General features: G+C 33.4%; 1 protein-coding gene across 41 annotated transcripts in view; it reads right to left on the reverse strand.

The window, feature by feature from the left end:
• Positions 1-12,342, reverse strand: part of PPFIA2 (PPFI scaffold protein A2) — a 501,376-nt gene that overhangs the window by 454,669 nt on the left and 34,365 nt on the right. The gene's annotated exons all lie outside the window — the stretch shown is intronic.

Consider the following 12,342-nt stretch of genomic DNA (forward strand, 5'->3'; position numbering starts at 1 on the left):
GATAGTTTGAAACATCGTGATTTAACAGGTGCCTTACTGGGTGACTCAGCCCCTTCACTCTGACTCTAACAATAACATAAAAGGATTTTTTTTTTTAAGTGGGACATCACTTTTTTTTTTTTAATCAAGCACAAAAAAAGACTCTTACGCTTTCAATTGTGCTGTCTTTAACTTGGATTATGGAACTGCCACCTCGTCAGTTCTCAAGTTCTCTTTAAATGTTCTGATATTTTCAACCACATCTCCAAGAGAAGTGATGGTGTGACTAGAGTCTCACTAAATAATGAAAGCTTGCTTTATTTTATAAGTTAACTGTTCTAAAGGCAAGGGCTGGAGCCTACATCTCAAAGTCTAAAATGTCACGATTAACTTTTTTCATTTTCTTTGTCTTCTTTGCTCATAATACAATTAAATATTATGCCAAATTTTTACCTGTGTGATACATAGCCATGATTAATATTTTTGAAATGATTTTAATACTTTAGTACAAAATTATTAGAAAATATGATAAATAATAATACAGCTTTTTTGGGGGGGTCTGATTGAATGCTAAGAGCTTTAAGCACATTAATTTAATTAAGCTTCAAAGCAAACTTATGAGGCTGGTACTATTTGTATTCCTCTTTGACATATGAGAAAATTGACACACCAAAAAATTAAGACACTTGCCCAAGGCCACCCAGCTAAGAGTAACAAAATTGGGACTCAAAGTCAGGAAGACTGCTTTTGCTATATACTCTGGAAGAGTATGATCTCTAGTTAGATACAAAGTGCTTAATAATTTCTATTGATAGGTCTCAAAGAGAACCTTACAAATAATGTTGTTTCTGTATATGAAAAAATGCTTTAGTACCTTTAATTAACTAATACTCTTCTACAGCTTCCATAGTCTGCAATTATGGCAGGGTCATAATGAAAATAAAAGAGACACCATTTCCTTTACCCAGCAATGCCAATTCCTACAGTTATACAGCAACCCCAATTCAATCACTCCTAGTTCTGGAAGTCCCAGTGTGCTAGTGGTGTCTCATAGGCTTGCTAATGTAGGTATCCTATAGCATATTGTTCAGGTCACTGCTATGAAGTTTATTGCTGTCTAATTTTACTCTTGGGTTAACCTGATTCACTCATCAAAAAAATTGATTGTGTCTGTAACTATTCCCATCATTGAGAAAATAGTGGAGAACAAAACTAAATCCTTGTTCTTATAAAGCTTATATTCTAGAGAAATGTGAACAGTGACAATTTGTCTGTTAGTAATAAATGCTGTTGATGAAAAAGTCGAAGATAGAGGATATCATTTTATGCAGAATGGTAGGGGTAGGTCTCAATAATAAGATGACATTTGGAACAAAGACCTTAATGAAATGAGGAACGATCTGTGAAGATCACTGGAAGAAGACTATTTTAGGAAGAGTTCTGAGGACCATCCAGGGGACCAGCGTAATTGGAGAAAAGAAAACAAAGAGGTAAGTAGTATGTGGTCAGAGAGAGAGAGGTGGTCAGACCAAATGGTAAATATGTATAGAAGCATAAATATGTCCTTATATACATATAATAAGTAGATACATTCATACACACTTTCATGCATTCAATTCTATGTATTGAAGGTAGAGCAAAGATGATTAAGTGCTGGCTGATATATTTTGGGGGAGAAAGAAAATTAAATCTAGGATGACTTCGAAATTCTGGCCTAAGCAACTAAAAGAATGGGATCTATTACAAAGGTATGAAAGGCAGCTGAGTGAGCAATTTCTTAGAAGGTGAATGAGAATTAGGTATTCAAGTTATAAACATTTTAGGCTTGATATTCCTATTTAATGTCAAAGGAAGATATTAAACAACCAGTTGCCAATGTGAGTCTTCCTTGAGGAGGAATAAAACATCTAGGGTTGCCACGTTGTGAATTATATTGAATGCCCTCGAATAGATAAGCACACCCTCAGAGTGGTTATAGAAAGAAAAGGCAGAAGACCAGCCTTGGATATGTTGATATTTTGAAGCTGGGAAGATATGAAAGTGGTTATTTTGTTAGACTCTGAAGAAATAGAGGGTCTGAGTATCCTTCAGACAATATCCCATAATATGTTTTGCAAAAACAGTTTTCATAAAACATATGTGGTTGATTTCATGGAGATATTGTACTTTAATTACAACTGTGGTAAGACCCTTTGACTTTAGCAATGAACCAAAATGAATATAAGGGTATTCTTTTATGCAAATAAAAGCTCTATTTATGAGGACATATATGTTAATGCTTGATAGGAATTGCTCTAGCAGCACATGTCAGCTCTTAACATTTCGAGGAGGTAGTGGTAGAGGATTTGATATATAATTATCTGTAAATAGTCAATGGGTGTTAATGAAGTGGAAAGTTTGTTCCAAACTCCCTATGTCATTCTTCTTCATATTAAACTGGCAGACAAGAGGAGGTCAAATTGTTAAAGAAATAGATGTACTCCTTGGTCCTAATTTTACAAGATGGCACAAGAACCCTGGAACATACATTCAAATTTCTCAATATACAGAGTACAAAATAGAAATAACACAATTTGTACATAGGATTCTAGTCCTAGGAATACTCTTTGTACATTTGGTAAGACTGTGTGAACTGTTTATCTTCATTCACTTCTTTTCCCATTTATTAATCTTAAGAGAATTTAATTATATCAATAGCTGAATCTACTACATGTTAATACATATTAATAGCGAAATCGGTATGTGTTCTTAAATTTGTGCTTGTGCTCTATGGTTTGTATACAGAATAATTTATTTTTTAAGTAGGAGATTGCAAATAAAATTACATTTTCTCAGATGATATCAGATTAAGCCTCAGGTGAAGAAAAGCTACTGGATATGAGCAGGTTAGGATATGGTCAAGCTTTACGTGCTTTTTCTCAGCTTTTTTCCCCCAGTAAGATTAAGGTGATGTCCATAACAATGGTCAGAGGAATACATTTGCTCTCAGTTTCCATGAATATAAACTTTAATGCTTGGGTGAATAATGAGAAATATATTTGTAATTTTAGAATGTTTTGCAAGCTGCATGTATAAAACTTTGTCAAGGAAATCTATATCACATAAAACAATCGTACAATCACGATAAAAGTATATTCCCATGAAATTTAGAAAAGCTAATGGCATTATGCTCCCTTGATTTCATATTATCTTGTCTTTTTTACTATTAAAAATTAAATAATTAAAATCAAATTTGGACTATTATTGTGAACACAATTATAGTTTCTTACAAATGACTGACCTTAATAAACAATTTTTTTAAATTTTAACTCACAGTTCAATTAAAAACTTTAATTAGAACTGGAATAAATTTATTAAATTTTCTGTAACAAATATTTAATATATTTATTGAGTAAATAAATTAATAACATGTAATATTCATATAGTTTCAGAAATACTTTGTTTTAATATTAATAGGTAAGATCATAACTAGTAATAATGGCTAATTGTTCATTTATTACCATTAAGTTTATATTTATCTACATATAATGTAGAATAACAATTTTTATAAGTATTAAATTATAATCTAAATACATAAAGTTTGTTCTAGAATGTGAACCAAAGCTACAAAATTAATTTTACTGATTTCATCCACTGTATTGCCTTATTTTCTATGTGAACAAAGAGCTGGATCAGCAAAACATTTGGATGAGTTGTAGTTTGTGTTGCCAAAGAAGAGCATAGAGCTAATTAGCCTATATAGGAAATAAGCTCATGCTTTTCAACTCTTTAGAACTATAGTCTAAATACTGAGATAGTAAAATTGCCAAACAGTCCATAAAATTTGCATGACATTTATTTAAAATATCAAGTATAATCCATGGTGATTGAGATTCTATTTCTCACCCAGAAGTTCTTCAACTAGATAGTAAAATACTTGGAAAGTACCAACACACACACACACACACACACACAAGCACACACATAGGGCGTTCTCTTCACACTGTCGGTGGAAAACACGAAAGCAAAAATAAATGCCTAAAAATGCATGTTAGAAGTGATGCTTTAAACGTAGTTTTGTTACTGGACTTACACCTGTGAAGTCAGAAAAACTTCTTGGAAGCTTTTGTTACATTTTCATGTATTTCACTTTTTAAAATTATTACTTCTGTTAGCAGATTTGTGCTAAAAATGTCTTCCTAGGTAAGACAGCAAATGTGCTCAGAAAGAGGTGCGAATGCTTTGGATAAATAAATGTTACCAGCTAGACAAGCAGCAGCTGGTAACCAGAAAAAAGGAAGTTCCCACCAGGAAAGAAAAAAGATTTTTCTGAATAGAATAAGTCAGAAAAAAAAAATGACAAGGTATGGCATCATAGGCCTTGTTGAACTAAAGACATTTCATGATCTGAAGTAATGTAATTGTAAGAATCCATGAGATAGTGGGACAACATGGGAGTTTAATCTGGGGTCAGCAAGCTTTTTCTGTAGTGGGCCAGATAGCAAATATTTTAGTCTATGTAGGCTACATACTCTCTGTTGCAACTATTCAAATTTGCTTTTGTACCAAGAAAGCAGTCATACACATTATATAAATGAATGATTATGGCTGAGTTCCAATACAACTTTATGGATGCTGAAATTTGCATTTCATATAATTTTGATGTGGCATGAAACAGTGTTCTTCTTTTGTTCTTTTCAACCCTTTAAAAATGTAACAAGTGTTCTTATCTTATGGGTGATGTCCAGATTTGGCCCATAGATCATAGTTTGCTAGCTTCAGGCCTAAATCATCATAGAACTGCAGGAAATCCAACACTGGTGGATAATAATAGTACCTTTATATTAATGAGCCTCTTTTTAATTGAATTGTAAGATGCTTGCAAGTGAAGAGGGTAAAGGTGCTGGGTGTACTTATTTTCCTTTGTTATTTGTTTATATGACTATCTTCACCCAGAAGCATAATGAGAGCTCAAATAAACCAGTGTGCTGCTCTTCCTAAAATAGTTAGGGCCTTCAAAACTAATATAGTCATTCAAAATTACTTAATTGAGCACCAATATATGCCAGGCACTGTCCTGGGTGCTAGGAAAACAATAGTGAATGAAAGAAACAAATTAACCTCAAGAAGCTTACCTTTCAGGATTGTGTCTTAGGACAAGCTCCATGTAAGGAGAATCTGAGATGTGGATTCTTGTATATGTGATGCAATGGCAAAGTGCTCTCAGGAGGAGGGGAATGGGGAAGAAGGACAAGGCAAAACATAAAAAAAAACCTAAACAAGAATATGGACTTAGCTTCAGACTACCGTCAAATTGATCCCATGGAGAAAATCTGAAGTAGAAACTGTACCACAGTTAGCTGTACTCTGAGGCAAGGGGGCTGGACTTTTGTACTCCTGTCCCTCACTGGAGAGGCACCTCCTATTTGGCCTGAGGGTAATGCTTCCAAGGGAGACAGGAACATTCCTGAGTGGTCATTAGAGAGATCTGGGCATAAAACTAACATCATCCACTACAGAAGGGTGACAAATAATAAATATAAATATTAAACATTTTTAATATGTCAGGTAGTGACATGGCTTTGTGGCTAGAGGAAGACAGAGAAAGATATAGGTAGAGGGATTGATTACTCTTTTACATCAAGTGGCCAAGGAAGTCCTCTGTGATAATGTGAAATTTCAGAAGAGAACTGAGGAAACTGAGTCCCAGTCATTCAGTTATCTGAGGGAAGAGGAGTTTTAAATCAAGACAGAACTAGCCTTAGAATGTTCTAGAATGTGTGAGAAGTGGGATGTGGCTGAAGTGTTAAGGATGAGTGGAGAGGTAGAAACTGAAGCTAGATGAAAGGGGTCATGACAGATTACATAGGGCCTTGAAGAACATTGTAATGTGTTCAGCTTTTACCCTAAGAAACAAAAGCACCAAGTGCTACAAGTATGTGCATTATACTTGTAGAACCCAGACGGGCTCTCAAAAACCATCTGGTCTAACTTCTCAATTTTAGAGATTTGTACAGTGGAAAATCTCTTTGAAGATAAAAGACAAGGATAGAGTTCTAAAATGTATGGAAAGTGACTTCCCATTTAATACATTTGAAGAAAATGCTGCTATAAATATTTGAACAGTTTCTACAGATTATGTTCATTTGTTTAAGTCCTGAATCTTAATGTCATCCCATCAATGGCAAAACTGTGAGAGGATGAGAGACAGCTGGCTGATGCACAGAGGATGCATGCTCACTGTCTGACGTTGGCTTGGCATTTATTCTAGCTGTAATTTCAGCACGTTGGGAAAGGGAAATAGTGATAATAATTTCAAGCAAGTGAGCTGTATTTTCTTTACATGCAGTGGTCAGCTACTGCCAAGATGACTATAGCTCCATAAATTGTTATTTCCACCAAATCCAATGCAAAATATTTTATGTTTAAATTGACAAATAAAGAACAAAAAACTATTCTTGGAAGATAATCATTAAGTAGTTATAAAGCAATTTAAAAATAACATTGCATATGAATTCCCATTAACAATAGTGGTATCTTGTGACTTCTATTAGTTTGAAAGAAATATTCCACTTCATGTTAGTACTGGACTTCATAGAAATATTTATTAGTGGGTTCAGCCCTCTGTTGTTGGTGTTGTTCAATGTATAGTAACTATACCCAATGTTTCTAATAATTCAAAAATATTTTTATGTTCCAATGCAAAGCCATATCTTGTTTTCTTGAAAGAGAATTTCTTACATTTCCAGCTCTACCTTAAATGGTCCATATCCTAGCTCTGATGTCAATTCTCCTATATGCAAGTTCTGATCTTAATTCTGCTTCCTGATTCTTTGCTATTAAAAAGTTCTCTGGGGTGATGATTACCCCTGACGGAGGAGATGTCCTTGAAACAGAAGCCTAATTTTCATCTCCTGTGTCATACTTCTTCTTCCTCCTTTTAAATATGTTGAACTACCAATGACATCAAAAAGAAATTTAAGCCAAAGTGAAGCATTTGGAGGAATTAAAAAGTTTTAACTGAACATCTTTATATATCTTAGTTTAATTAAATCTATAATTAAAACAGCATTGAAGCATACATCTTAAAAAGATCACAGATGAAAAATTCAGTTATTTCCTGAAATTTCAATAATATATACATATTCTAATATCTAGGTGAAACAAATACATTTCAAAATGTGTTGTTTAAGTTCACTGACCTTAAAAAAGCAACATATTGCTGATAAATAACATCATGACATACTTAGCTTAATTTACATAAATAAGCTTTTAAAAATATATAGAATATTTCAGTGTAAGGGAACATTTATTCCATTTGCTTACAGTTAAAGAGTTATGTTTGTCTTATTAATAAATTATATCCATTCTATCTGTATTTAGAGTTAGTAAATTTACCTGTAAAATTGTGTCCATTCTATCTGCATTTAGAGTTAGTAAATTTAAAAAAAAATGTAATTTAAACATAGTCTGGCATTCCCTACCTTAAGAGGTCAAGTGTAAATTCTTGTGAAATTACCTGTAATATAATTGGTGAAGAAGCATGGCCTACATCTGCCCAGGTTTTAAATTTCAAATAAAAGCAACTCCCTAATTGTTACTCTCTTCTGTGCAGAAACACTTGCTCTCAACAGGATTCTTTAATTAGGAAAAGAAATGTTTCTGTAAAAGGCTCTTACTGATTATACAGTAAAATGCTTTGGGGGAAAAATTGCTTTAAATTACTGACACTAAATACATTTGGATCTGCATGTCAAATGCACATACTAACTTCATTCTTGGATAGCCAAGAGCTACACACATAAGTGGACCTAAAATGGGTAGAATATAAAACTTCAGTTAGAATGTCATCTGTCACTTTCCCTGGTTTCCCTGCACAGCACTTGTTTGCCCCTTTTGGTAAAGAGATCTCAACTTCTTTGGGATGCTACCTGTCTTCAATACACAATAGGACCACCAATTAAAGAACTGCACCCTTCTAGCCAAGGTATGGCCCTGTGACTCAAATTAGGCTGCCTCAATTCTCTGACCTGGGAGTAAATTTTGAACAGAGTTCCATGAAGGTGGAAAACAATTAGAGGTAATTCATCTTATGTACAAACACCTTATCAATTGTCCCTTAGTTCCTGCTCAATCCTTGATCCCCATTTTTTTCTGGAATATAACTATTGGGTTTCCTTTTTGTGACTGAGCTGACTTGTATACACTTAATAAATTTTTTTTGTTTGTTTTTTTGGCTTTAGTTAGCCAGAATCAACTTTTGTTACTTACAACCAAAGATCCCTAACTAATAACAGCTCATAAAAATGATTAAATATTCCATGTTCAAAAGCATTTAAATTGAAATGTTTGAAATGTTTCTAATAACAAATCAGTTAAAATCGGCACATAAGATGAACTATAAATCTTAAGTTGGGAAGCACAGCAACAGGCAGGCAGGTGATTATGAAATGGATGAATGATAGCGTCCTAGCTAAAAAAAAAAAAAAAGGTGGCCGTTTTTATTGCCTAGCTGCAGCTATCAGAAACTACATTAATATTACAGAAAAGGGGAAGTGTAAAGCCTCTAGTGAAATGAAGAAAGGGGTGCAGAAAGGGCCAACTGTGGAGAATCTTTCATGTTGACCCCAGAGGTTTTCCTAGAAAAATTTCCCTGACCAATTTTCTTTAATGATGGTTCTACTCTCTAGGACTATATATTTTGCTTCGCATGTATTCTAAGCTTATTGCATTCCTCAATGCATTTATAAACTCCAATTGGGAAGGGACTATGGTTACTATTTTTTCTATATCTGGTAGAGTGATTGTTCAGAAATTCTATTCCATTAACACCTAATACACACACACATAAACACACACACACACACACAAACATACACACACATATGCATACATCTAGTGGCAATTTTATCTCTACAACTTCTCCCAGTGATTAGCTATCTGCTATTAAGACATGATTTCAAAAGAATTGGGGGTCTCACAAAGCATAAAGCTTATCCCCCCTCACCCCTGTTCCACCACCTACACATGCTAATTCAACCTGAGAGTGACTAAAAGTTTACGATGAGAAAAATATTATTTTTACTACAAGTCTTTTATAAAAGCAACTCAACCTTTTTTGTCATAATTTCATGACAGAGCACTGATATCATAGCAGCCACACATTTTTTAGTCACATAAAACTGGCTTCATCTTTCACTGTTTGTTTGATCTGGGATAAAACAAGCATTCTCTCTAAACATCTAGAAAAAACAAGGTAATAATAACATCAACCTCAGAAGGGTTTAGCAAGGATTTCAGTGAGATATAACAGTGTCTGATATATTATAAGCACATAATAGATATTACTATTATTATTATTTAAAACAATGTGCTGTACAATCATAATATATCTGCAGTGGTGGTGTAGGACATTAGTTTAGATATCTGATTTCTAATTGTTATTAGTGTCCAGGAAAAAAAAATCAGTGTTTCATAGGACACTTTCCTCAGGGCATTTAGATCTAAAATAATATTTTTTATTGTACAACTTCATACAGATGATGCAATATATAAAGTAGATATAACCTAGGAGTATTCAATGTGACTCATTCCTCAGTCTTCCCCAAGCCCCACGTTTCTCCCAGCCAAGATTAATCTTAACAAAAAAATCAAGTAGTCACATACCTTGCCATAATATTAGAAGACAGTGTATGACAATCATCATTAAGAACTTGATGTCAAATATATCAACTTGTCTCTGACAGATTTTTCTCTAAATGAGATTTACTGTCCATCAAGTCATATATTTATGATCTTAAATGTACTTATTACTAGTATCTTATCCCCAAATCTAAATAGGCTAGATCTGACATTGACCTTTATTAAAATTACAGGTAGTTATGCTTTTGTAGTTTCTCCCTAAAATTTAAAAAGTAATTTCTCCTTAATCAACAAAGGTTTGTCTGACATCTTAGAACCCCAGGAGAGATAGGAGATAGGAACACTATCTCAATTCCATATTAAGCTTCAATTTCCCACAGCAAAATCCCTTGAGGAATAGTTCCTGTATTTTCCTCCCTTTGCCTTCTGGAATGCAAATCAGGACGCTACCTCAGGCAGGTTCCAGTTCCTACGAAGGAAGTTTTATATTATCAAAATATTAAATTTATGTTCCAAATCACCTCATTTCAACTCTCCTAAGGACAACTCCTCTTCTGAAAAAAAACAAAACAAAAACAGTTCAAGGGATGTTTATGTAAGCACGCTGTGCTACCTTCATACAATATGATTTTTATTCAAAATTTCTCTTCTGAAGATTCATGAGGATGCATTTTGCAAAGTATAAAAGATATTAATTACCTGTTCAACTTGTCAGGTTCAGAAAATACATGAATAACACATCAATTAGCAATATATAACACCAAAGAACAGGACATAACCTAAGAATTTAACCTCCTATGATCTGCCTAGCTTCAATTTAAAGTCTAAAGGCACAAGTGCACATATTAAAGCATATAAGCAAATATATTCAGAAACCTAGTGTTAAGAATATTCTGTGTTTTTACCTTGCTGCTTCATATTTCTCTGCTCTACTAACTGCATGCAAACCCTTTAAAACCTATAATTAATATCTCAAAATGCTAACTAGTTCACTGCACTCTTCCTGCCTGTATTTAAATATAAAAGATAAAGGGGACACAGTTTGCCAGTCTACAGAAAATGCACAGCCAACCTGCACAAGCTGCCACATAATTTATGGTGAGGATTAAATGAAATGATATATGACACATATACAATTAGTTCAGACACAGACAGCTGAAAGAATGTTAATAAGTCAAAAGTCAATGAACTTTCTTAAGATTCATGAAAACAATGACCAAATATGTAACTCTGTAAAAACTATCCATACTGTGGTTTGGGGGGAAATAAATGAAATGCATTCTTAGCTGTCATTATAGTCACCTATTCTGTCATTGGTATTTTAATTCTAACACACTTCCCAGGTGTCCATGAAAAGAATTACACTTCTTTCATAAAAAACGATGTCATCACTTTATAGAACACAATTATCTATACACATTGAAAAGCTTCCAGTTGAGTTTATTAAATTCTTGCAAACACAACTATTGTAATGCAAATTAGAGAATATAAAGACACTCTAGAATTTCTGTCTACAAAGCAAGCTCACTGAGAAAACTCTGCATATTATAATGGGATAATTCCCCTTTAAGTTGCTTTATATCTGAAAGCATAAATCAGAGGGTAAAATTAAGATACATTTTTCCTTCATGACTGTAAATAAAATAAATTGTAAATGGTATTATCTGTTAATTTTATCTAAATTATCAGCTAAAATGTTTGAGATTGAAGTACATTTTGGGATATTTCAAAATATTATTACTTCACTCATTTCAAATAATCAAGCTATCTACAAATATAAGAAAAGTGAAACAGGGAAAGGTGACTGTTTCATAAGAGAATATTCCCAATCATCTTTTGGCTTGGTTACAATGCTCTATCTCTAAATGTGAATAATCTTAAGAAACAATGTTAGAGGATTTATAGGATATCTTCTTTTAAAAGGCCATATTTGACATTGTTAATAGTGATTGTTAATCGTTCTACATAAAGTTTCCAAATAACATTGTGTTATGCCTGACTGATAATGTAAAAGCTCTATAATTATAAGCAATGACAAGATGTTATTAAATTGCTTATGTAATTTTGAGCCTTCTATTTATTTATTTATCATTTTTATAAATTTAGGGGGTACAAATGCAGTTTTCTTACATGAATACATTGTTTCATGGTGAAGTCTGTGCTTTTAGTGTAACCACAACCCAAATAATGCACATTGTACCCATTAGGTAACTTTTCATCCCTCAACCCCCTCCCACTCTCTCACCTTTCTGAGTCTCCAGTGTTTATTATTTCACTCTCTTATGTCCACATGTATGCATTATTTAGCTCCCAATTATAATTGAGAACATTCGACTTTCTTTTTTGAGTTATTTCACCTAATTTAAGACAATGGCCTCCAGTTCTATCCTTGTTGCTGCAAAAGACATGATTTCATCCTTTTTTTATGACTAAGCAGTATCCCATGATATGTATATATACCACATTTTTGTTTACCCAGTCATCTATTGATGGGCACTTAGATTCATTCCATATCTCTGCTATAGTGAATAGTGCTGCAATAAACATAAGGGGGAAGGTGTTTTTTGATATAATGATTTCTGTTCCTTTGGGTAGATAGCCAGTGGTGGGATTGCTGGATCCAATAGTAGTTCTATTTTTAGTTCTTTGAGCAATCTCCATACTGTTTCCTACAGAAATTGTACTAATTTACATTCCCATGAACAGTGTATAATAGGTCCTTTTTCTCCACACCCTCATCAG

The sequence above is a fragment of the Homo sapiens genome, chromosome 12 (assembly GCF_000001405.40).
Source record: "Homo sapiens chromosome 12, GRCh38.p14 Primary Assembly".
Classification (NCBI taxonomy): Eukaryota; Metazoa; Chordata; class Mammalia; order Primates; family Hominidae; genus Homo; species Homo sapiens.